We start from the raw sequence: 27,224 nt of genomic DNA, 5'->3' as shown, positions 1-27,224 counted from the left end.
TTTTAGTTGGATAACCACAGAATGTGCTATGCAACCTATAATTTGCCATTAAAAGGAGAATATGGGGCTGAATCACATTTTCTTTAAATATTACATCCCTCGGTGCCCAAAAAGAGTGTTCATTTTAGAGTTAGACTGGGCAAAATAAACACTGGGTCACAAGTGATAGCTTTGGTTAGAAATGTCTTTAGAACAGGCCAGCATGCATGTTGTCAAATGGCAATGCATGGCCTCTTCCCAGGGTCATGTGGGGCCAGTCACAAGGAAGCTGAATTATTCCCAATTGTCCACACAGGCCTGGTGGCAGGAGGTGAGGGGGAAGGCACGATACTCACAGGAACTTTCCATTTGTCTTTGATCCTATCAGGACAATTTGCTCAGATTCTTCCCGAGAGATTTTTCCATGGAACCAAGGCATTTTTTCATGGGCTGTGGTAGCGATCAGCTTCTCCAGCTGAGGCTTCTGACTGATGATGGCCTGCTCCAGAGCCTGACCCTGCCACATGGAGAGCAAAGCAGAGTAAACCATACCGAGGAAAAATGAAAATGATGCAGAAGGCATTTCCAATCTATCTCGAGTCCTGGCATGGTAAAACAGGATCAAAACTTATTCACTCATTCATTCAGTAAATAAAACCAGAAAGACCTTTACACATTACTTAAGTACTTTCAAGTGTATAAATAAAAATAACATGGCCGGGCACGGTGGCTCACGCTTATAATCCCAGTATTTTGGGAGGCCAAGGAGGATGGTTCACTTGAGGTCAGGAGTTCGAGACCAGCCTGGCCAGCATGGTGAAACCCCATCTCTACTAAAAATACAAAAATTAGCCAGGTGTGGTGGCACATGCCTGTAATCCCAGCTACTTGGGAGGCTGAGGCAGTAGAATCGCTTGAACCTTGGAGCCAGAGGTTGCATTGAGCTGAGATCATGCCACTGCACTCCAGCCTGGGTGACAGAGCAAGACTCTGTCTCAAAAAAATAAAAAATAAAAAAATAAACACACATATCCTTTGCTGTGGCAATCCCAACCCTTTCAAAGTTTATCCTGCAGACGTTGCATACAAGTGTAGTATACGATAGGTCTAGAGCAATGTTGTTAGCAGCGTTTATTCATAAACAGCAAATGTGTCCATCAATAGGTACTAGTTAAATAAATTGTGGTGCATAGCAGGTGATACCAGATAGCCAAAGAACGGGTGATGCAACTATATGAGTGTTGACACAGAAAGTTCTGCAAGAGATATTAGGAAGCCATAAAATCAAGTGCCTATCAGTGTGTATGGTAGGACCTTGTCAGATAAACAGAAACCAATCAACACCTATCAATGCCTCTCTGAAAAGGCCCTCCTTGCACTGGGTAACAGTGGTTCCCTGCTGTGGAGAAACCCACACTGCTGGCACAAAGGGACCCACCCTCTCAGCTGTGGCTGTGAAAGAGGAAAGGCTCTTATCAGAGAGAGGCATTTTTTGGCCAAAATTGATGCTTAAGGAGATGGTTGTGTTATTTGGGCACACAGGGCACATAGGCACATGTGTTGCATGTAGCCAGGAAGTCTGTGTGGGGTCACAGGGCCCCCTGGGCCCAGGGAGCAGGACCAGCTGTGGCCCACCTGCAGGTTCCATGTCTGCTTCACATATTCCCTGATGAGGTTTTCCTTCAAATCCTCAAAGGGCCCAGTCTTGGGCTGCACCCCTTGGGGCCGGTTGAAGGGCTTCTTGAGGAGGCAGACCAGGCCATCAGACTCCTGGGAGTGGTAGTGGCAGAGGTCGGCGGGGCTGGCATGGGTCCTGCCACCGGCGATGGCGTAGGTGCCATTCAGCTCCCGCTCGATGGTGTAGTGGTGTGCCTTCCTCCCGTGGGCCACGGACAGGGCGAAGCCACCCAGGTAGTTGCGGCTCTGGCGCAGCAAATAAAGCCCATCACTCATGCCCCCCTGGACCAGGTAATCTTCTGCCTCCTCCCGGGTGATGTTGCCGAAAAAGAAGGGCAGGTGGTTGGCGCTGTCAGCCATGCCGCTGCTGGCCATGCTTCAGGGGCCGGAGGGCACACACCTGCGCAGGTGTCCACCTGGGCAAGACAGAGACAGAGAACTTTGGTGAGGACCCCACGTGGCAGGGAACGTTTGCTAAAACCACTCAAACCCTTTCAAAGTGGAGACAAACCCTCCCATCTCTGAACAAAGGCACTTCCCTCTTTGGCCCTCCCAACACACAGTTGTCTTTCTGTTCACATCATCATTACAGTTTTCAGCATGCCTTCTAACTAAGCTAAAATCAGAGCATTTGATGGAAGTGACCAAATTAAATAATTCTTTTTTGGGGGGAGTGGGGAAAGACAAAGAATTCTAAAAATAAACATACCGCAAAGAGAAGCAAACAGAAGGGCTATTGCAAAACAGGACTCTTGGGCTGACCCTCAGGGTCCCAGCAGCATACAGGAGGCAGAATCTACATGAGAACAAACCAACTGCTCCTCCTGAGTCCAGACAATGTTAGAGAAGCCTTGCTCCTCATCACAGTGATATTACCAAGGAGGACGCTACCACCACCTCACCCACCTGAGCTGCGAGACGCTGCCTCGAGCAGTCAGTCACACGCTGGTGCTGAGCCCCAGAGGTGAAGTGAGGCCACGTTGAGGGCCCACACGGAACTGTGACTTGTGGTCACCATAAGGCCTTCCCACCTCCAGCCCGGGGCTATGATAGCAACAAGCCACTGCCTGAGACATGAAGAGTGACACCCTCCCTGGCTCCCGAGGCCTGGGGCCCATAGGCTGTCTTCTCCCCGCTTCTCCAGACCACTTCCTGGGCAACGCCACTTCCCATCTGCAGGGCCCGTGCTAAAGAGATAGTGCCGGTTCCCAGCCCACGAGGACATCTGACACAGGAGAGACACTGCTTGCAGTAAATAAATACATTTCAGAAGCAAAAAGAAAGGCGGCCAATGCATATTTAACATGGAGAGTATTCCCTCTCAATCATGGTTGTAAACTAGAAGGATACATATTGCCAGCCCCAAAAGTATCCAAGGAGGCACATTTTAACCAAAAGGGGCTGGTCGTGAATGGAAAATTATCTACATGACTCCATCCATTTATCCAGGGAGCAAAGCGCATGTCCCTCATGGTACACACACACACACACACACACACACACACACACACACACTCTCTCCATACCACATGCACACTACATGCATGCCACACACACTATGAACACATGCCACACCTGCACTACACACACACCATGTACTACATGCACACTATGCACATCACACACACCAAACACACAAACTACATACATACCACACACACGAAACACACTACACACATCACATGCTACACTACATACATGCTACACACACAAAACAGACATGAAACACACCACTGCATGCACACAACACACATCACACACACTACCCCACACACATACACATACACACAAACTACATACACACCACACACATGAAACACACCGCACACACCAAATTCTACGTTACATACACACAAAACACACATGAAACACACCACATGACTACATGCGCACTACACACATCACATACGGTACACCACACACCACACACATCACATACACTACACCACACACACACACTCCATACCACATGGACACTACATGCATGCCACACACACTACGAACACATGCCACAGCTGCACTACACACACACCATGCACTACACGCACACTATGCACATCACACACACACCACACACACAAACTACATACACACCACACACACAACACACTACAAACAACACACACTGCACACACAACACAAATTACATACATACCACATACAACACACTACACACACTACACACACCATGTACTACATGGACACTACACACATCACACACACCAACTACACGTACACCACACACACAACACACTACACATATCACACACTGCACACACAACACACAAAAACTACATACACTCCACATACAACACACTACACACACCACACACACTACACACACCATGTACTACACGGACACTACCCACATCACACACACCACAGACTACATACACACTACACACACAACACACATAACACACTGCACACACAACACACAAACTACATACACACCACATACAACACACTACACACATAACACACTACACACACCATGTACTACACACATCACATACACCACACACACAAAATACATACACACCACACACAGTACACACTACACACATCACACATACTACACACATATCACACACAAACTACATACACACCACACACCATACTAAACACATGCTACACTACATACACACTACACACACAAAACACACACGAAACACACCACACAACTACATGCACACTACACACATCACACACACTACACCACACACATACACCCCCATACTACATGCCCACTACATGCATGCCACACATATGGACACATACCACACATGCACTAAACGCACACCACACACACACAAACTACATACACACTACACACACAACACACTACACACATCTTACACACACTGCACACGTCATACACAAACTACACACACACTGCACACATACTACACACAGTATACACAAACTACATACACAGTACACACAACACACTACGTGCAGCACACAAACTACATACACATTACACACATAACACAGTACACACCCACACACACTGCAAACACACCACACACACAAACTACATACACACGACACACAACACACTACATGCAACACACATACTACACACTACACATAAAAACACACACAAACCACACCACATCACTACATGCACACTACACACATCACACACACTGCACACACACCACACACAAACTACATACATGCCACACACACACCATAGTACACACAACTAACACTACACTACATACACACTACACACACAAAACACACACATGAAGCACACCACACCACAGATCCTGCACCACGATGATGTGAAGCGGCTTCTTCTCAACATGCACTATCCTACAAGGGGCTATAAAATGTAAGAGCATCAGCCTGACACAGGCGACAGAGTTTTCCCCAGACGGTGTCTATCCACAAGTCAGTACTCCTGGGCGAGCCCCTAATGAGGCATGGGTTTTATTATAATTTGAGGGTATTAATCATCATTTCCTGGCTTGCCTCTCACAGCAGTTGACTATCAATGACTTTTCTTTGTCCAACAAGTTTCTAAAAATTCATCTCTTAGCAAGGTGTTTTTGTTTTTTAAAGTATATCTACATTTACTTTTGAGTCTAAGAATGCTGTTAACAGAAAGACATCTCTGGAAACACAGTGTGCTGATGAGTCTCTTGGAAGAAATACTTCTCTTTGGACTGCTTTCCCCTTTCTACAGTTTTTTTTTTTTTTTTTTTTTTAGAAGAGACGGGGTTTCACCGCATTAGCCAGGATGGTCGCGATCTCCTGACCTCATGATCTGCCCGCCTTGGCCGGGCGCGGTGGCTCACGCCTGCATTCTACAATGCTTTTGTTGCAGGCCAGCCACTGCCCCCAGCCTGCTTTTCCCCCACTCCACCCTTTTCCTGCAGTGGGTCTTCTCGGGCCTCCAACCTCATTTCCATTGTTTCCCCTGCAGCCCAGCACGTCTCATACTTCCACGTGGCCTGGGGGCTCTGACACACCCAGGGCCTGAGACGCTGCTGCTCCTGCAATCCTGGTGATGCGGATGCTGGGTTCTGATGCCACCTGAGACCAGGTTCTCCATCTTCTCTGCCTTCCCTGCCCAGGCGGTGTCCCAGCCAGGAACCCAGGAGTCCTCCGCAGGACTTGCGTTCTCTAAGGTTCGTTTTCCAGGCGCCCTTGGTGCATGTTCCTTACTGCCCATATCCATGACCACTGCTTGGCGTAACCCTGTCCTTTCCACTGCTGCCCTTCACTCCTCACCTTCTGCCCTCCTGCTTCCTGACGCCTCCCTCTCCAGCTGCCCGGTCCTCCCTCAAAGCGCACATCAGCCCTTCCTGCCTATTCCAACATGCCCAGTCCACAGACCACACTGGACTGCACCGGGATGCTGTGGCTTTCCCTTCTTGTTCTCACCACGTGTGCTTTCTGCTGAGGCGTGCAGCTCTTCCTCCCAGCCATCTCAGTCATCCTTACAGACCCAGCTCAAATACCCCTGTCACTGTGTACCTGGCCCCGATGCTTGTGTCCCCTCTGCAGGGCCCAGGTTACTTTTTATGTAGTTGCAGAACAGCAGACTGCACCATCAGCTCAAACTGAGACAGTAACTTTGTAGGAACAAAATTTTAAATAAAATGAGAGCAAATACTTTTTAATTCATATAAATCTTAACATAGCTACTATTTTAAAAATTCATTGGCTTGTCACTAATCATTACATCGGTGCTGGCACTTGGGCATGAATCCCATATTGAAGTGAATGGAAAGGAAGTGAGACAGGCTGTGGTCGGGTCTTGGGGAGCATCTGCAGACCCGGAGCAACCTCCAGGCACACGCCAGGGACACTCTGTGTGGCTTTGATGGTGCATTGCAGATATGTTCGCAAGCAGGTGGCAGAAGAATGTGCTGCACTCAGTGTCAGCACCGATGTGGCTGATGGCCCTTTTCTGGCCATGTGACTTCCTGTGCCGGAGTTGACCTGGGTATGTTGGTGGTGATGGTTTGGGCAGAATCACTGGTTCACTGCAAGGACAGCTTATGGCACATTTTTGGGCTACTTAATTGGGGGAATAAACAATGTCCATGGTGTTCCTGTGCATACCTTCTCAGGACTGGCACCCACCGGCACCCACCCGGGGCCTTGTCCTGGTCTCCAACCTCCTCTTTCTCAGGCCACCTTGGCAGGAAATGGCCATCTCCATTCCAGTCACTGCCCACAGTGGCCCAGGCTGCTGTTCTCAGCTCCACTTTTCAGATATCAGCTTTCAGTCAGTATGGCAAATCCAGAGAGTCTCACTTTTCACCCAGCGTAGTCTTGGCCACGGCTGTGGCATCTCTGCCACCCCCACCAACTGAGACAGGGACGGAGCCCGTGACTTTCCCCTGCAGGCATTCCTCCTGCACACACAGACTCAGTCCTTCCCGCCTGATGCTTTTGCCAACTCACAATGCTTAACTCTGACTACAGGAACAGCTCATGGCTCAAATTCTCTTTAGCATTCCCAGGGATCATTTTCTTCCAAATAGTGTTTAGAACTTGCTCCCTATTTTTTCTTAATTCAACATTCCCAGTTATTTTTTTCCATGTGTGACACTACTTCATTCCAAAGCACGAAACTGAGAAACAAACCAGGCCACTTAGCTCCTCCTTAACTCCACCTGTACCCCTCAGCCTGCTGGGTCTGGCACCTCAGTGAACACCTGGGCAGGTAGTGGTTCAGCAAGGAGGGTTTTCAGGTGTCTGGTGAGCTCCTGAAAACACTGCAAATCCCTTGCTCTTTTGAGACCTTTTTTGTGACACAAGTTAAATGTGCACTTAGTTGTAGAAAAATGTTTTTTGACATGAAATAATCTTCTGTAATGTCCTGGGCCGCATACCTCCCTTCCCTGCCTAATTTTTCTCTGCAGCACATCTCCATAAGGCAGCAGCCCTTTAAATCATGATTCACTGTTGAATTTGAGTATTGTCTTGTTCTTCCCACCAGAGGGCCAGCTCTGGGAGGTGAGAATAGGATGACCTTGTTCACTGCCATATCACCATGCCTGGAACAGCTCCTAGTGCAGAATAAGTCATCAAAAATATTTGTTGGTTAATGGGTATTTATTTCTCTCCACTGAGCTCCTGATCTGCATGTCTGCTTATCTGACGTCCCCCCTTGGATGTGTAACAGACAAGTTGACCTCCACATACTCCAGATGAGGCTTTTGACTCCTCCTGCCACTCCCTCAGCAAATCTCTTCCTCCCTCAGTCTCTCCTAATTGAGGAAATGACATTGAGCACCACAGTTGCTGAGGATGAGACCCTGGCTGCTTTCAGGAGTCTTCCCTCTCACCAAGTCAGAAAGGAATGTGCTTTCTACCAGAAGCATTGGCCACTCACAGTGATGCAGGGAAGCCATGAGCTTGTGCAGGAGCTGAGCTCCATCTGATGCAGTCACAGGGATGGAGAATCTTGAAGCAGGTTAGATGAGCTGGTCTCCAGGTCCTCTGAGTAGCTTTTCTTTAAAATATATTCCCAAGCCATCATGTCTCCCCATAGCTCCTGAGGCTGCCCTCGTGGAAGCCACCGCCATCTCTCAGGTATTGGAAGTCTCACCTGGTCCTTCCTTTCCTTACTGACAATTCCCTACCCTGAAGGTGGAGTGAGGCTCACAAGGAACCTCTCCATCCACATCACATCGCAAATCTTCATTGCTCCTCCACAAGGCTCTCCTTGACCAGGCCCGAGACCTGCAACCTCACCTTGCTCACTATCTCCACCACACTGTGCTTCTGCCTCCAGGTTGAGGCCTCTCCTGCCTCCTGCTTGGCTTCCTCCTTCTCAGGCCTTTACTCAGAGAGTTGCATCATGATGATCCAGTCTCAGGTGCTGCTTCGGCCTACCTTGGCCACCCCCGCACATAGTTAACTTCTCAAAAGCATCTATTACCTTTGTAGCATCAACACAAACCTGCCCTTTCCCTAAAATGTGAGCCCCAAAGGTCTGGAGATTTCACTGCCTTGCTCAGGCTTCAGGGTTTAACCAGAGGCTGGCAAAATCCTGCTTGATGGAAACATGTTGCTCTTTGCTTTTTAGGATTTCCACAGTGAATATACAACTGACCCTTGAACAATGTGGGGATGCTGACCACCCACCCTGTAGTAAAAATTCATGTGTAACTTTTGACTCCCCCAAAACTTAACTAATAGTCTACTGTTGACCAGAAGGCTTACCTATAACATAAATAACTGATTAACACATATTTTGCATGTTATATGTATCATATACTATATTCTTATAGTGAGGTAAGCTAGAGAAGAAAATGTCATTAAGAAAATCATAAGGAATAGAATATATGTTTACAATACTGTACTGTATTTATCAATACCATAAATTTACTGTCATCTGTTTACAAGATGACTCATCCATCTGAAATGGCAGGCAACCATGGCTACAGTCCTCCATCTACAATCCTCATCAAGCAATTCAGCTTTTTCTTATAATGTCATGACTTCTTGGGAGCACTTCCAGCCTCACTGTGACCCTTCACATGGGACCCATGGTGTTATTCAGGTTGTACGGTATTGCACTAAACATTATGAAAAATACTTGAGAACTGCAAGAGATCACTTATTAAAGATCACTTTTTACTGCAATATGCAATTTACTGGAGAGATGAACTGCTCACACAGAGATGATGAGCATCACACAGTGATTTAGGCAGGTACTTGCAACTCTCGAGCTCATCACAATAGCAACAGGAAGTGGCTATGAAATTATTACAGCAGTACAGTGTGTACTGCAGTTAATTTTATGCAATTATGATTTAATACTGCATCTTTATATTTATTTACATTTTCCTCGACTGTGAATGGCATATAAGTATTTATGTGTAAGTTTTGATAAATTTTAATTTTAATAATAGAGTTGTACACATTTTATGGTAGTAAATGAAAAAATAGACTACATATATTTTGTGCATTCAATATACACTTAACTTTTTCTTAACTTTTTTTTTTTTTTTTTGAGATGAAGTCTCGCTCTGTTGCCCAGGCTGGAGTGCAGTGGCACAATCTCGGCTCACTGCAAGCTCCGCCTCCCCAGTTCACGCTGTTCTCCTGCCTCAGCCTCCCAAGTAGCTGGGATTACAGGTGCCCACCACCACGCCTGGCTAACTTTTGTATGTTTAGTAGAGACGGGGTTTCACCTTGTTAGCCAGGATGATCTCGATCTCCTGACCTCGTGATCTGCCCTCCTCAGCCTCCCAAAGTGCTGGGATTAGAGGCGTGAGCCACAGCGCCCGGCCAACATTTTTTATATTTCTGGGCTATGGAGTTCATCTGCAAGTTTTTAAAATTGTCAAAAACCTTCAAAACTTTTTTCCAATATTTTTGTTGAAAAAAAATCCGCATATAAGTGAACCCACATGGTTCAAACCTGTAACGTTCAAGGGTCAAAATTGTATGTTGCTTTTGTAATAAAAATGCTAAACATGCAATTGCTGTGTGTCCAGATGGAGGCTAACAGGGCCAGAATCAGAGAACCCTGGCAACTAATCTGCGAGATGCTCCAGCCCTGTGGCTGCTTCAGATGGAGCTTGGTTCCTACATAAGCTCCTGGCCTCTTAAGGGAAGGGAACTCACTCCAATGTGTGCCGATGCTTCTGTTGGAAAACACTTTCTTATCTGATTCCCCATCTCTCCTTCCCCATCTCTCCTCCTCCATTTCCCGTCTTCCAACTGTGCACAGGACAAAGAGAACACAGCCAGTTCTGCTTCCCCAAAACAACCTGCAAATGCTTGCTCTTGGCAGCCACTCCAAGTCAATGCATTCTTCCTGCCTTGACATTATTTCAAGACCTCTCACTCATTTTGTCCAAACAATTTCATATCACCCAAGCTCCTCTTAAAAGTGCACCGGCCCCAGTGACGCTGCCAAGATTTCCTGGGCCCGTGTCCAGCTGTCCATGAATGCAGCTATGGGTGGCCCCATCCATCCAACATCTCCGCTGGGCTTCTGGAGAATGAACAGCTTCCCTTTTCAAAAGCATGTGGTCAAAACACATCCCCCACACTCAATTTACAAATTAAGATGGTTGCCTTTACCCTGTTCCCCCTCCTTATGATGGTCCCACCCATTTCCATCTGGCACCATTCATCACATTAGCTCGGGGTTACTCAACCTTGGCACTCTTGACATTTGGGCTGGATCCTTCTCTGTTATGTGTGTAGGGTCGGGGGCTGTCTCATCTAGTACAGACTATTGAGCAGCATCCCTGGCCTCTCCCCACTAGATGCCAGTAGCACCCCATTCCCCAATCATGACAGCCAAACATCGTCTCCAGATATTGCCAAGTGTTCCCTAAGGGTAACTTACCCCTGACTGGAAACCACTGTGTCAGCTGTTGTGGACACAAATCTGATGTGCCCATTTTATTGCTCTAGCCCAGGGGTGTCCAATCTTTTGGCTTCCCTGGGCCACACTGATAAAAGAAGGATTGTCTTGGGCCACATATAAAATATACTAATACTAATGATAGCTGATGAACTACAGAAAAGAAGGGAAAGAAATCTCATAATGTTCTAAGAAAGCTTACAAATTTTAGTTGGGCCACATTCATAGCTATCCTGGACCACATGTGGCCTATGGGTCATGGGTTGGATAAGCTTGTTCTAGCCTTTTTACCAATAAATTAGATGAACAAATATTCCCCTATTTAATTTGTTAACATCATTGCCAATGAACAAAAGACAAGGCTGGAAAGGAATGGTACCCCGTGGAGGTGGTTCCACTGGGCCAGAGAGCAGGAAACCCAGGGACACAGAGGTGAGAATCGGGAACGCTGGCGACCCGGCCCAGCTTTGTGTGACCTGGGCACTATAGCAATAGAGTTCTTCACTGGTGAAAGGGGATGACAGTATACCAAAGCCACTGTAACTAATTTCAGTCATGAGTGGGGAGTGTGGAGGGGTGCCCAGGGCAACTGGACCCTCTCAAGTGGGAACTTTGAATAGAAGAGGGAAGGATAAGTCATGGTGAGATGAAGGAAAAAGCACGGGCAGCCAGACCCACACTTCATAAGAAGGCATGCATGTGTGTGCATGTGTGTGCACACATGTGTGTGCATGAGGCTGGGAGACAGACGGACATGCCCACCCCCACCTGAAGATGGTGGAAAGTCAGTGAGGGCTTGGACTGAACCAAAGACAATGCTTCCTTACCTCAAAATCCTCCCTAGTGCCAGTCAGGCTTCACCTTGCACGTGATACACCATGAGGAGTTAAATCTAGAACGGAGTCAGATTTATTCTACAGGCTTTGATTCTTTCTGCCCCACACCAAAGAAGCCCTGCCAGCCACCCTCCTGGAGCCTGCAGAAATGGATGAGCCCATCATATCCCACTAGCATCCTCATGTCTTCCATGTGTTTTATTTAAATTATACTGTATCCTTTTGCACTTACTGGCATGTTTCAATCTTCTCTTCCAACTAGACTTCCATAGTCCATTTCCCCTATGCCAGGACTAAAGCTGACTATACAACCTTTGCCCTTTAAAATGCATTTAGTTGGGAAACTATCATTTGTGTAGTTCTACCTTATCAGGCAGCAACTTTATAGATGAAGAGCAATAGATCCATGCTTGCCACCATAAGTACAATGTTTCAGATACCCTTTCAGCTAATTAAGAAATGATGTTTCTAGGGCAGTCTGACTGGAAGATTAGGCACAGATGCTCACACCTGAGCAAGCAGCTGAACAAGCTGTCCAGAGCCCATTCTTCTGGCAGGGGAAAATTTCATCCCCTACAGAGGAACAGCCAGCATGAATGCCAACATGATGAAGGGGGGCTGAGCTCTATAGGCCCACCTGACACTAACACTCCCAGCTCCCTGTCCCACCTTAGAGTTTTAGTTCTGTTTTTTTGTCTATATTCCCCAAAGCCACTAGAATAGACACTCCATTAGTGTAAGTACGTTTACATTTTGTTCTCTACTGCCTGGAACAGAGGCTACTTTAAGTATGGGTCTTCAGTCTTCAAATTTTGTTTGAGAGTTAAAATGTATACATGGCAGGCAGCCTCCAAGATGGTGCCCAGTGATCCTCACTTCCTGGTACTCCCATCCCTTGCACACAGAGTGGCTGACTGCAGAGTGACAATGTTGGGTCTCTGAAGCTAGCTCATGAAAGCCCTTAACACTTTTCCTCAGCTTTTGGATTGCTCACTCTGGGGAAACCAGATGCCTCATTGGAAAGATGCTCAAGTAGCTCTTTGGGGAGGCTCATGTGGTAAGGAACTGAGGCCTCTAGCCAATAGCCAGCAGTAAGTGACCAGCCGTATGAGCAGCCACCTTGGAATAGTATCTTCCAGCCTCTATCAAGCCTTCAGATGAGACTGTAGCCCTGGCCCACACCTGACTACAACCCTACAGAGGGCCTGAGCCTACCCAGCTATCTCAAATGCTTGGCCCACAGAAATTATGAGCAATAATAAGTAATTATTGTTGTTTTAAACCACTAAGTTTAGAGTGATCTGTTATGTAGCAACAGATAACTGATATAGCATGTGCAATGGAGTTGGGCGAGAGAAGCAACAGTGCTTAATGGATATTTAAGTAAATAAATATTTGAATGAATTGTTGACAAAAAAGGCTGGTGAGTGTATGAGCTAGGTTCTAGGAGCTGGGCTCTGGCAGAATCAGAAGAAGACTTTCTGGTATTGAAGAGGTACGTGGAGCTAAAATAGAGGTTAGGAAGGAAGGAGCTGAGCCCAGTGTGTGCTTCTGGAAGCTGCCTGCCTCACCCTGGCTTCTTTCATGTCCACGTTTACCTGTAGAAAATGGTTAGAGGACTAGCTGCCCAAACCCTGCAAGGGCCACATTATCTGAGCCTGGCACTTAGAGATTATGGGAACCAGGATCAAAGGCAGAGGCCAAAGTTCTGATTAATTTATTATCACTAGTAACATTTTAACTAATAAATCTTCATAGTGTCATTTCTTTCTTTTCTTTCTCCTCTCTCCATTTCATCGATATCATACTTCTGGTTCTGTTCTCTTTCCATCTTATGCATGAAACAAAATACAGTTGCTTCTTGTTATTCACAATAGTTATGCTCTATAAAATCACCATGAAAGCTGAATTTGCAAATCCTGAACAGTTGCTCCTGGGGAAATATGGTGTTAGGTTTTTGTGATCCTCTGGTTACAACTTTTTTGTCAATCAATCAATACAGAACCTTGTTTTATGTGTATTTCTATTTAAAGATATTTATTTCATATATATTGTTGATTCATTAACCTTGAACTCATGGTCAACAGCACAATAACTCATGCCTGAAAGTAGCTTCCCTAACACACGTATTTTCTCTGTAAAGCACATCACAACCTTCTTGCACTTAGAGACACCAGACAGTAAGTACTTTAGCATTGTGTTTGGGGCCATTTTTAAATAGCAAAATCACCCCAGAAAAGCACAAAAATGCAAAAACCATGGACTAAATGGGCCAAGAGAAAAGAAAATGTGTTTATAAGAGCTAAAACAAGAAAGCAGAGTGTCACCTTGTGCGACCTCAACGTATGTGTTGGGTGACTTAAATTTTTCACTGCTTTGTGCACGTCACAAATGACTGCAAAAGTGCTGTGAGTATTGATTTTGGGGTTGCAAACAGATTTAAATGAATAGATGAATGCGGAGATATGGAATCCATGAATCATGAGGACTGATAATAAGTAATTTCCCTTCCGTCTCCCCAACCTTCCCTGAAAAGACCCAACCTCATCCATAAAGATATATAAATTTACCTTGGATGTTTTGGGAAAATAGTTATCTCTATGTAAGACTGTGTTCTTAAATATATTACTCCTATCTCATAAATCTGTGTTCATTTCAGGATTTTCTAGCTTGGCATTGAACCAGAAGAGGTAGCCTATGTCTCTGTATCCCTTTTTATTAACCCATCTGTCCTAGTTATCAAGGGGCCTCAGCCCTGAGATTCCAGGCTTCTGCTTTTCTTGAGACCCACTGAAGCATGGCTCCGGCAGGTGCTGCCTCCTCCCCTCCAGCCCCCTCAACTTCCTGTAGTTCACATTTCCAGCAGTCCTTAGCGATTGAAGGTGTCTCACTTTCACATCCCTGGGCCATTAGAGCCCTCCTATCATACAGAGACAGTGGGGGAAATAAGTGGTTCTCTGGGAAAAGATCACCTGCAAACAATTGTTGCCAAATCCATACCATTTAAGGGAACAAAAATCAGCATAGTGCAGAAAGATATCCAGGCTTATCACGCTCAAACCACACAGCCCCCTCAATGCAAAGCAGCCCTGTTAAGATGTGCCTAGGAATTTCCTCTGCAGCTTGAAGCTGAGAAAATTGTCAAGACTTGGGTGAAAGGAAACTTCATCTGTGGGTTAATTTTCATAAGAAAGAGGAGGCCGGGTGTGGTGGCTCACGCTTGTAATCCCAGCACTTTGGGAGGCTGAGGCGGGTGGATCACAAGGTCAGGAGATTGAGACCATCCTGGCTAACAGGGTGAAACCCCGTCTCTACTAAAAATACAAAAAATTAGCCAGGCGTGGTGGTGGGCGCCTGTAGTCCCAGCTACTTGGGAGGCTGAGGCAGGAGAATGGCATGAACCTGGGAGGCGGAGTTTGCAGTGAGCAGAAATCATGCCACTGCACTCCAGCCTGGGCGACAGAGCGAGACTCCATCTCAAAAAAAAAAAAAAAAAAAAAAGAGGAATGAGTCCAACCAGAGGGAGAATTGATCTTGCTGGTTTGGTCAGGGACTGGCTGATTAATTACAGAGAAATGACCAAGGAAGAGGTGATGTGATGGGACCACCCCACCCAGCACCAGGCTCTGCAAACAAGCATGTTTGACTCATCTGCAAAGGGCTGGGGGCACTGCCTTGTGCGGCAGAATCCCACTGTACAAAAGAAAACATGTGGACACAGACCTGTGGCCTCAACACTGAGGAACAGAACCCCAGCTGCAGGGCCTGAGTTGGCCTTGCATCCACTCCACTGGCTTCGTCAGTAGGTATCACTTGCCCTCCACGGCGCCATCCTGAGGCCTGCCTGTGCATCACACTGCACAGGGTGCCTGGTCTCCAAGGCACAGCCTTACATTGTGCACATTCTGCTGAGCGGTTGACTCTCCCATATTTGCAGGCATACATGGGGGACTTCTTAGTATATAGAGATACACAATTCAGAAACACAAAGTGAAGCTAAGGATGGTAGCATGAGGCATGATTTTTACTAATGTTTAGAAATAGAGGGATATTGAAATACTTGAAAACATTATCCAAACCTTCAACACCAAATTCTCTTGCTGTGCCTTCAGAACTTAAAAGATTGAAAGTGCATCAAGTAAAGGCTGATCTATCTCAACCAACACATAGACATTTTCAAGCTCTGCAAAAGACACTCAGAAATCTCTTCTCTATGCCCACCTTGCCATAATTAACACAGAAAACAGATATTACGCTTTGGTGTTAACATTATGTTAATATAAATGTTAACTGTGTAGTTATAAATAAACAACCAGCCCATCTGGTGCATTTAATTTACAATCTAACTGATTGATTCATTCAATATGCTTGTTGAGCATCTATCACGTGCAAGTCATTATGTCAGGCACCATGTGAGAGAAAAATGAACCTCCTGCCTCCCTGACAACAGGTAGGCAGAAATGGCTCACGAAAGTAAGAGAATAAGGATCTGGTCCGAGAGTTCCACTTTCATCCTGGGGACTGCGTGATTTCCAGGTTCTCTACTATCCTCACGTCTTCTTGCCTCTAAGTGGGACTGGCCAAAGCCACCTGCAGATTCTAGTTCTTGGCAGGACTCTGGCTCATGAAAGCTCACATGTCCGGTTCTTCCTGAGTGTGGTCTTCAGGGCACCCCACCCTCAGGCTCCCTTCTGGAAAGCAGGGTTCTGGGCCCACCTCAGACCCAGCAAATAGGGCATACGGACAAGAAGGGTAAATTTTAAACAGCTTCCTAGGTGATTTTTTTTTTTTTTTGAGACGGAGTCTTATTCTGTCACCCCAGCTGGAGTGCAATGGCACGATCTCCACTCACTGCAACGTCTGCCTCCTGGGTTCAAGCAATTCTCCTGCCTCAGCCTCCTGAGTAGCTGGGACTACAGCGCACACCACCACACCCAGCTAATTTTTTGTATTTTTAGTAGAGACAGGGTTTCACTATGTTGGCCAGGCTGGTGTCAAACTCCTGACCTCATGATCCGCCCACCTCGGCATCCCAAAGTGTTGGGATTACAGGCGTGAGCCTCTGCGCCTGGCCTGCTTCCCAGGTGATTTTTAAGCACTCTAATGTCTGAGAACCTCTGCTATAATCTAATATTGCCCTATTCAAGTGCTACAGTGTGACAGGGAGGCAAGTTGACCACGTTCAGTGTGAGCGAAAGCAAGTTGCCACTTGCCACGGGTGGGGAAGGGAGCCAGGGAGGACAGTCAAGTCACCGTGCTGTGCTGGTGACCGGGCCAGGCTGCAGGCTCAACCTGGGAGACATCTCTGCAGTTCTTCTCCACCAGGAAGAAGTACATGCCTCATCATACAGGTGTGCTCAGAGAAGGGGGAAGGGACGCACACGCAACGCACACACAATTGGTAATTAAAAAGAGAGCTAGCTTTTGTGAATAATTAACAGAACACTGGGTTGCAACCAAAATTGCCACTTAGCAATGTCCCTTGCATGCTCTTTTGAGCAGAAGAGGACAGGGTGGGGTTGCAGCCAGCGGTGTGGGGCGCATATTGACCCTGAGTGGGGCCAAGGATGTCTCCCCAGTGAACTGCACCATCTACCATGTCCCAGGGCCACCTCATCACTCACTCTTCTCTGGGGAAAAACACAAACAACCAACAAGATGCTAGAAAAAAGAACTCACGTTGAATATGCCTGATAGATCTTACTATATTGCTTTTATCTGGGCAAACCACATATGGATGATGAGAAGGGCAGCGCAGTTGCAGGCTTTCCTTGATCCTGCCCTGGTACCCATCCCAAGATCCTTTCCTACTCAGCTGTGAAGGCCTGGGCGGGGCGGGGGGGGGGGCGGGGGTGAGGCCACAGCAGACTGCAATGACAACAGCCGGCAGACCTAACATCTCTTGTCTGTGCCTTAGTGCCTTGCTGAAGTTTCCCGCTTTCAGGCTCTATTTTACTTTTCCATCACTACCTTATGAGCATAATCTTTATGGGGATCCTGCAGCTGCTAGAGAAACCAAAACACCTGACTTAAGCAAAAAGGACACAGTAAATGTGGATTAAGAAATATCTAGAGTTTTACTGAATGTCTATTTAAAAAAAATCGCTAGCATTCTTTTTCCTAGCCAGTTAAAAAATAATTGTGGGTGACTCAGGACTGCAAGATATTACAGGAGCTTATGATGGTCTCCTGAGATTTTATAATTGTCTTTCATAAACCTGAGACATAAATATACTCAATGCTTAAAGCAAAGTGGCATAGGTTATAGGAAGGAGAGAAGGATGCTTTAGCTGCATCATAACTGCAGGCAAGACAAGATGGCAAACCGCTAAACCTTCCAGCTCAAGATGGACATGTGCTCAGTGGAAGAATGTTAGCGGCAGAGGAGAGGAAACGCAGATGCAGGCATGAAACCTAAGTATCCCTCCTACAGACACCCACAGATGCGCAGAGCCTGAGGTTAGGGTTTCTAAATATGCTTGATTCCCACAAATTTGACCTACCTCCCTTTCCTGGATTCAAACGCAGATCTGGAATCCCAGGCGCTGGGCAGTATAGAATGTGGGAAGGGAAGAAGCACACAAATCTGAGAGGAGTATCTTAAAAGGAAAACAGCTGAAACAGAGAGAAAGCACAAGACAGGCATCAACAAGCCAGAGTGCTTCCTGCTGCTGGACGATGTCTGTAATTAGGGAAATGGGCTTTTCCTCAAAGTGTCAGCATGCAAAACAAACCAGAAAGCAGAAGTGTGAGATCCCCAGCAGCACGGGGCCTCTTTTAATTGCACATTCAAAATGAAGTAATGCTCTGAGACATGGATCCCTCCAGAACACACACCAGTTGAGGAGGGAGTCAGTGGACAGGGCTGTGCCATTTAGTGCTTAGCCAGCCTGGAAATGCCCTTTCCCAAGTGTTTTTACCAAAAATGAACTTGGTCTTGAATTGCTGGAATGGGTATAGCGAGGTTTTCCTGATTGTTTTATGTTTTTTTAAAAAGTCCTACATCATAACATGTATCAAATTCAACCAGAAGATTGAACCAAATAGGAAGAGCATCCTTGAAAAGATCTTAATGGAGACCTCAAGATGCTAATTGCCAGCCAGGAGACTGAAAAAGTCAAGCAGAGATGGTCTTAATGGCGGAAAGGCCAATGTGTAGGGCAGAGGAAAGAAGGGTGCCAGCTCTCTCTGTCCCTGTTCCCAGGCCTCCTGGTCAGACAGCTGCTCATGGTGCTAGCAACAGATGCAACTTTACAGAGCACCTCTGACCAGCTCCCTCAGGGTACTTTTCAAGCATCTACTAACATTCCCTTACTCTGTGAAGCAAGCAGCTTTTTAATTTCCCACTGCAGTCTGTGACATCCTCCACACTCAAGAAGGGCCAGAAGCTCAGCCAGGGCCCACTCCACAAAAGGCCGTGAAACATCCCTGGAAACGCAAGATAAAAAGGAACCCTCTCCAGAGCTGTAGAAGCTGGAAGGAGTCATGTTGATGAGTTTACTGGGGTGGGGTTAGGAGCCTCGCGAGGGAAGTGTTCAGAAACACAACAGTAGGCAATCTGCACCTGCACCCCAAACTTGTGAAAATGACAGCTTCATGAAAAACAAGTTCTCATTTTATAGAAGATAAACTTCAGCCACAGAAGAGGTTGGCTGTACATCTTTAGTGCTGGCCAGAATGGCCATGATGATGAAGGTGATGAGGATAATGCAAAACAGCTATTCCATGAGTACTTGACTCAAAGGTTATCAACTGATGTGCACAACATCCCTAATGGTAGATACTATTGTTATCCTCAATTCACAGACCTGGTCATCGAGCCTCAGGAGGGTCAACTGGCTTGCTGAAGAACACACAGTATGTGGTGGAGCCAATATTTGAAGCCTGCCTCTTCTCTTAGCTACCATCTTCAGGTGGCAGTGCAAAGGCCCTCATAGTCAACCCATCCAAATGTAAGCTTGGGGCTTTCCTGCCTAACTTGGAGCTCCTTCTTGTTCCCTGGAGCTGGGTTCTCAATGTGCGTCTCTGGACCAGCAATGTCAGCATCACCAGGAAACATGGAGGATATGAAAATTCTTAGGGTTCCACCCTGACCTGCCAAATCAGAAACTCTGGGGTGAAGCTCTAGGTTTTGTATTTTAAAGGCTCAAGTTTGAGAACCTTGGCCCAAGAGCTCCATCCATTTATGAAGATGAAAATCCAAGCTCTCTTAGATCATTCCCTTCTCTACACTGCTGAAAGTCAACCCCTTGCCAATCCCTCCCATCTCACGTCTCAGCCTCCCACACATGCCTACTTGTCTCCAAAACCACATAACATCCTTTTCCTCCACATCTCTTTTGAGTAGCTCTGGCTGTCAGTGCCCCCACCTTGCTCCCTTCCTACATGTTCTAAGCTGTGGCCCTTTTCTCTGCTAAAAATCCTCCACTGTCCAGGCTACCCTTTGAGCTCAGGATAAACATGTCCCTGTCCCCACAGTCAAAACTAACATGCTTTCCTTTTGTACCACTGACCACTGTTTTGACTTAATTTACCTTTACTTTCTAGCATGTGAATTTTTGATGAATGTCTGTTTGTCCCATAAGGGCAGAAATTGTATCTGTTTCTAGTAAGACTTGAAATTGAGTAGTGTGAGTCCTCCAACTTTGTCCTTTTTAGTGGGTATTGTGTTGGGTATTCTAGATCTTTTACCTTCCCAAGTAAAGTTCAGAATCATTTCATCATTAGCTACAAAACAGCTTGCTGGGATTTTGATTGGGATTGGGTTGAATCTACAGATCAAGCTTGGCAGAATGAACATTTTAACAACATTGAGTCTTCCAATGTACGAACATGGACTACTTTTCCATTTACTTACATCTTCTTTGATTCTTCCATCATTATTTTGTAGTTTTCTGCATACAGATCCTGTACATATTTTGTTAGATTTATACCTAAGTATTTTCTTGTGTTTTTTTTTTTTTGTCTTTTTGGTGCTATTATACATGGTAATTATTCTTATTTCAAATTTCAATAGTTAACTACTGGTATATAGGAAAGCAACCGACTTTTGTATATTGATCTAGCATCCTGTAGACTCACTTATTGGTTATTAGAGTTGTTTTATGGATTCTTTGAAGTTCTCCATATGGACATGCATATTATCTGTGAAAAAAGATGTCTTATTTCTTCTTTTCTGATCTGTATAAGTTTTGTTTTGTTTTCTTGCACTAGCTAGGGCTCCCAGTAGGATGTTGAACAGAGTGGTAAGAGAGGACAGTCTTACCTTGTTTTCAGTATCAGAGGGACAGTGTTCAGTCTCTCACCATTAAGTATGATGTTACCTGTAGGTTTTTTTTTTTAATGCTCTTTATCAAGTTACAAAAGTTTTCCTCTATTCCTAGTTTAAGATTTTTTTTTTGACATGAAAGAGTGTTTTGAGTTTGTCAAATGCCCTTTCTGCCTCCATTAACATGGTCATATGATTTTTCTTCTCTAGCCCATTGATGTGATGTATCACATTAATTTATTTTCAAATGTTGAACCTGTTTTGCATACCTGGAATAAATTCCACTTGGCTGTGGTACATAGCTCTTTTCATACGTTGTTGGGTTTGATTTTCTAACATTTTGTTGAGGGTTTTTGTATATATAAGTAATATTGCTTTGTTTTCTTGTAATGCCTTAACTGGTTTTGGTATTACGTGAAATCTGAACTCATAAAATGAATTAGAAACTGTTTCCTCCATTTCTATTTTCTGGAAGAGATTATGGAAAACTGGTATTCTTTCTTTCTTAAGTGTTTGACAGAATTCACTAGTGGACCCATCTGGGCCTGATGATTTCTGTTTTAAAGGTTATATTAATTTAAATTTTAAAGATATAGGGCTATTCAGGCTACCTATTTCTTCTGTAAGTTTTAGTAGTTTGTGTCACTCAAGCATTAGTTTATTTCACCTAAGTTACCACATTTGTGAGTACAGAGTTGTTCATGATCTTCCTTTATCATCTTTTTATATCCATTAGATCAACAGTTATGACCTTTCCTTCATTTCTGATATTGGTAAATTGCATCTTCTACATTTTTTTCTTTTTTTTTTCTTGGTTAAAGGTTTATCAATTTGGTTGATGATTTCAAAGAACCAACATTGGTTTTATTGACTTTTCTCTACTGTTTTCCTGTTTTTAATTTCAATGATTTCTGCTTTCATTTTAATTATTTCTTTTCTTTTGCTTGGTTTAGGCCTAATTTGCTCTTCTTTCTGTAGTTTCTTAAAAGTAGAATCACAAGTAATTTTCTTTATATATTTTTTACCTAATGTGTGCACTTAGTTCTATAAATTTCTCTATAAGCACTGCTTTTGCTACATTCCAAAATTTTTGATAAATTATATTTTTATTTTTATGCACTTCAAAATATTTTTTTAGATTTTGGAGACTTCTTCTTGGAAACATAGGTTATATAGAAGTCTGTTGTTTGATTTCCAGATATTTGGGAAATTTCCCAAAACCTCCATCTTTTTGTTGTTGATATCTAGTTTAATTATACTGTGTTCTGAGAACATAATTGGTATGACGTTTAGTCTTTCAAATGTGTTAACATGTTTTCCAAGAATGTGCTCTATCTTGGTGAATATTCCAAGTGAGCTTGAGAAGAATGTGTATTTTTCTGTTGTTGAATGGAATATTTTATAAATGTCAATTAGATCAAGTTGAGTGACAGTACTGCTTAGGTCATTTTTATCCTATCTATTTGGTCTATCAACTTTTGTGAGAAAGAGATTAAAATCTCTAACTATAAGACAGGATTTGTCTACTTCTCCTTTCAGTCTTACCAGTGTTTGTCTTGCATATTTTGATGCTCTGTTGTTATGCACATACACATTTAGGATTGTTATGTCTTCTTGGATATTCGACCCCTTTACCATTCTGTAACAATTTCCTTGAAGCGCTGACCCCTGTTGACTATGAGTTTTTTGTCCTTTAAGTGATAAAGTGATGAGGGTGCTGGAACTTGAGGAATTCCCTTGGGAATTCCCAGCTGAGACAAGGCTCTTGCAAAGTGTTTTCCCTTGGAGAGTAACCATTGTCATGGAGAAAGCCTAGGGGTATTTTACAGTTATCACTCTTCCCTCCCATGCCAGGGCCATGAGGAGCTCTTTCTCAGATCTTCACAATAAGAACCTAGTGAGGCTTGTATTAATCATGCCTTTCTATTTCTTTTATTTTCTGGTAGCTATGTCTACAGTGTTATTCAAAGAGATGATTAGCTCCAGGTGTGGACCTCAGGGGCCTTGTACCTGAGCTGTGTGGACTGCAAGTAAGACTCCCACTGAAGGCAATGCTTGAAGCTGCTGTGCAGTGAGGCAGAGCTTTCTGTCTGATAGCCTCTGAGTGAGCCTGTGCCCAATATCACCTGGACTCATCCTGTGGGCCTAAATATTGGGACCCAGGAGGACCGCCTGGTGGATGTGCACTATACTAAATCATCACCTATCTCCAGCATCCGCAGGTGCAAGTAAATCTGCCATACAATCGGTCTCTGCTAATGAGAAAGAGACATTATATTTTAGAAATATTGACTATGAAAAATTATTCTTTCATAAGAAAAGTGTGTGATAATTAGCAGATTCTCATTTTGAGAATTCAATGGGCTTGCTACTAAGTTTAAACGAAATATCACATTGATGAGACTGCTTTTAATCCTGAAGGCTGTGATCTGTCTACTTCTGGACTTTTTTTGCAATGCCCTTTTGGTACCAAAACAGTGCCAGTCACATCACAGGAGCCCAAGAAAAATCTGCTGACTTAATTAACTAATATAAAATGTAAGGCAAAGAGACTTTCTCTGTGTTATAAAACAGTTCAACTGTTTCGAAAACATATCTCTTACAAAAACAGTAAAATTTAACTTGCTTTTAAAAATTATTTCCTTGCTTTGTAAAAGAAGTAGAATATAGTTTATTCTCATTATTTCAGGTTATACATTCCACAAAGTCACCCCCAAAACTGAATTAGCAAGTAGTAGCCCATCGCTTCTCAGGGGTTATGTGCCTGAGAGCCTGCCGTCACCATATTTTCATCAACTGATCAATGCATCACTTGTTTTATGTGTTTCTGTGTAAAGGCACCTTATTTCATATCTATTGTTGATGCACTACCATTGGACTCACGGCCGACAGCACTAACTATGACTCATGCCTGACAGAGGCTTCTCTAACCCACATATTTTCCCTGTAAGGCACAGCACAGCCTTCTTACACCTAGGGACACCAGATAGCACTTCAGCTGGGGGTACTCTAAACAGCAAAGTCACCACAATTTGAAAAAAGGAACAAAAATGCAAAAAATACGGCACTAAGTAGACTGGGGAAAAAGACACTTACTTATAATATGAGGTGAAAGGAGGAGTTGGAGCGTCTGGAATATGCATGTGGCTAAAATTTTGTGCCACTCTGTGATATGGTTTGGCTGTGTCCTCACCCAAATCTCAACTTGAATTGTATCTCCCAGAATTCCCACATGTTGTGAGAGGGACCCACGGGGAGGTAATTGAATTACTGGGGCCAGTCTTTCCCATGCTATTCTCATGGTAGTGAATAAGTCTCATGAGATCTAATGGGTTTATCAGGGGTTTCCACTTTTGCTTCTTCCTCATTTTCTCTTGCTGCTGCCATATAAGAAGTGCCTTTCACCTCCCTCCATGATTCTGGGGCCTCCCAGCCATGTGGAACTGTCTCTTTTTCTTCCCAGTCTTAGATATGTCTTTATCAGCAATGTGAAAATAAACAAATACAGTAAATTGGTACCAGAAGAGTGGGGTGTTGCTGAAAAGATACTCCAAAATGTGGAAGTGACTTTGGAACTGGGTAACAGGCAGAGGCTGGAACAGTTTGGAGGGTTCAGAAGAAGACAGGAAAATGTGGGAAAGTTTGGAACCTCCTAGAGACTTGTTGAATGGTTTTGACAAAAATGCTAATAACGATATTAACAATAAGGTCCAGGCTGAGGCAGTCTCAGATGGAGATGAGAAACTTGTTAGGAACTGGAGTAAAGGTGACTCTTGTTATGTTTTAGCAAAGAGATTGGTAGCATTTTGCCCCTGCCCTAGAGATCTGTGAAACTTTGAACTTGAGAGCGATGATTTAGGGTATCTGGCAGAAGAAATTTCTAAGCAGGCAAAGCATTCAAGAGGTGACTTGGGGACTGTTAAAGTCATTCAGTTTTATTAAAAAAAAAAAAAGAGCATAAAAGTTTGGAAAATTTGCAGCCTGACTATGTAATAGAAAAGAAATATCCATTTTCTGGGGAGAAATTCAACTCAGCTGCAGAAATTTGCATAAGTAGCAATGAGCCTAATGTTAATCCCCAAGACCATGGGGAAGATGTCTCCAGGCCATGTCAGAGACCTCCACAGCAGTCCCTCCTATCACAGACCTGGAGGCCCAGGAGGAAAAAGTGGTTTCGTGGCCTGGGCCCAGGGTCCTCATGCAGTGTGCAGCCTAGGGACTTGGTGCCCTGTGTCCCAGCTGCTCCAGCTGTGGCTGAAAGGGGCCACCGTAGAGCTCAGGCTGTGGCTTCAGAGGGTGAAAGCCCCAAGCTTTGGCAGCTTCCACGTGGTGTTGAGCCTGCGAGTGCACAGAAGTCAAGAATTGAGGTTTGGGAACCTCTGCCTAGACTTCAGAAGATGTATGAAAATGCCTGGATGACCAGGCAAAAGTTCGCTGCAGGGGCAGGGCCCTCATGGATAACCTCTGCTAGGACAGCACAGAAGGGAAATGTGGGGTCACAGCTCCCACACAGAGTCCCTACTGGGGCACTGCCTAGTGGAGCCGTGAGTAGAGGGTCACCATCCTACAGACCTCAGAATGGTAGATCCACTGACAGCTTGCACCATGTGCCTGGAAAAGCCACAGACACTCAATGCCAACCTGTGAAAGCAGCCATGAGGGAGGCTGTACACTGCAAAGCCACAGGGATGAAGCTGTCCAAGACCATGGGAACCCATCTCTTGCATCAATGGGACCTGGCTGTGTGACCTGGAGTCAAAGGAGATCATCTTGGAGCTTAAAAATTGACTGCACTGCTGGATTTCAGCTTGCATTGGCCCTGTAACCTCTTTGTTTTGGACAATTTCTCCCAGTTGGAATGGGTGTATTTACCCAATACCTGTACCCCCATTGTATCTAGGAAGTAACTAGCTTGCTTTTGATTTTACAGGCTCAGAGATGGAAGGGACTTGCCTTGTCTCAGATGAAACTTGGACTGTGGACTTTTGGGTTAATGCTGAAATGAGTTAAGACTTTGGGGGACTATTGGGAAGGCATGATTGGTTTTGAAATTTGAGGACATGAGATTTGAAGGGGCCAGGGGTGGGTGATATGATTTGGCTGTGTCCCCACCCAAATCTCAACTTGAATTGTACCTCCCAGAATTCCCACATGTTATGGGAGGGACCCAAGGAAGGGGGGTAATTGAATCATGGGGGCCAGTCTTTTCCATGCTATTCTTGTAATAGTGATTAAGTCTTACAAGATCTCATGGATTTATCAGGGGTTTCCTCTTCTGCTTCTTCCTCATTTTCTCTTGCTGCCACCATGTAAGAAGTGCCTTTCACCTCCTGCCATGATTCTGAGGCCTCCCCAGCCATGTGGAACTGTAATTCCAATTAAACCTCTTTTTCTTCCCAGTCTTGGGCATGTCTTTATCAGCAGTGGGAAAATGAACTAATACACTGTGTGTATGACCTCAAATGGTCTTGAAAGCATCATGGTTATTGATTTGGGGATTACAGATAAATGACTGTGATTGTGAGTAGGCAAATTCACAAATTCAGAAGCCATGAATACTGAGGATCAACCATATATTATCTCACATAAGACTGCTATGGGTGACTCACATTCATTCTTTATCCATTTTGAGTGACTTCTAAGATATTCACCAAGGGCCTCAGTGGTCACAAACAAGCTGGATGGGAAAGTACAAATTACTGTAAAAATCAATACACAGATACTAGTACTTGGAAAATTATAATATCAGTCTCAGCTCCTGATAGCCATATCTCCCTGTATTCATTTGGTTTTCTAACAAAATGTTTCCTGCTACTCTCAAAAACATAGGTTTTATTTACATATACCAAAAATCAGCTGATAGCATGAGAAAAATCTGCCTGGTTTCCTATTAGAGGGGTTGATATTTGCAGTCGCCAACCTGCACAGCTGAGCCAGCATAATTCCTGCAGGGTAGAGAAGGCCATGAAGCCTAAATCAGGGGCACCAGAGGGGCCTGAGCCAGGCCTGCTGCTCACCAGCTAGCCAGCCTTGAGCAGATTACTCTCCACTTCCTCATCCATAAAAGGTTATAGCTTCCACTTTATTGGGACTGTTCTTTTAGGAAAAA

The 27,224-nt window shown here is 44.7% G+C and overlaps 1 protein-coding gene across 9 annotated transcripts in view, besides 3 other annotated features; it reads right to left on the bottom strand.

Moving 5' to 3' along the window:
• Positions 1 to 27,224, bottom strand: part of SYK (spleen associated tyrosine kinase) — a 96,950-nt gene that overhangs the window by 52,620 nt on the left and 17,106 nt on the right. For 7 of the 9 annotated variants that reach the window (XM_011518946.4, NM_001174168.3, XM_005252147.5 and 4 more), the window contains exons 2-3: positions 1,615 to 2,072; positions 336 to 496 (exon numbers count right to left, since the gene is read on the bottom strand). In XM_011518946.4, the coding sequence (XP_011517248.1) occupies positions 336 to 496; positions 1,615 to 2,031 (578 nt within the window). In that variant the 5' untranslated portion in view covers positions 2,032 to 2,072. Of the gene's footprint in view, positions 1 to 335; positions 497 to 1,614; positions 2,073 to 18,350; positions 26,793 to 27,224 lie in introns of those variants that run through there. The other 2 variants (XM_047423809.1, NM_001174167.3) reach the window with 2 other exon arrangements.
• Positions 6,476 to 6,535: an enhancer, noted in NCBI's record as "active region_28577". NCBI's record gives its function as "activates an Ori minimal core promoter by ATAC-STARR-seq in GM12878 lymphoblastoid cells {active_cell/tissue: GM12878}" and the evidence as "EXISTENCE:reporter gene assay evidence [ECO:0000049][PMID:35858748]".
• Positions 6,576 to 6,625: an enhancer, noted in NCBI's record as "active region_28576". NCBI's record gives its function as "activates an Ori minimal core promoter by ATAC-STARR-seq in GM12878 lymphoblastoid cells {active_cell/tissue: GM12878}" and the evidence as "EXISTENCE:reporter gene assay evidence [ECO:0000049][PMID:35858748]".
• Positions 14,928 to 14,997: an enhancer, noted in NCBI's record as "active region_28575". NCBI's record gives its function as "activates an Ori minimal core promoter by ATAC-STARR-seq in GM12878 lymphoblastoid cells {active_cell/tissue: GM12878}" and the evidence as "EXISTENCE:reporter gene assay evidence [ECO:0000049][PMID:35858748]".

The sequence above is a fragment of the Homo sapiens genome, chromosome 9 (genome assembly GCF_000001405.40).
Source record: "Homo sapiens chromosome 9, GRCh38.p14 Primary Assembly".
NCBI classification, from domain to species: domain Eukaryota; kingdom Metazoa; phylum Chordata; class Mammalia; order Primates; family Hominidae; genus Homo; species Homo sapiens.
Note: the sequence above shows the minus strand (reverse complement) of the source record. Positions and strands in the feature narration are given on the sequence as shown.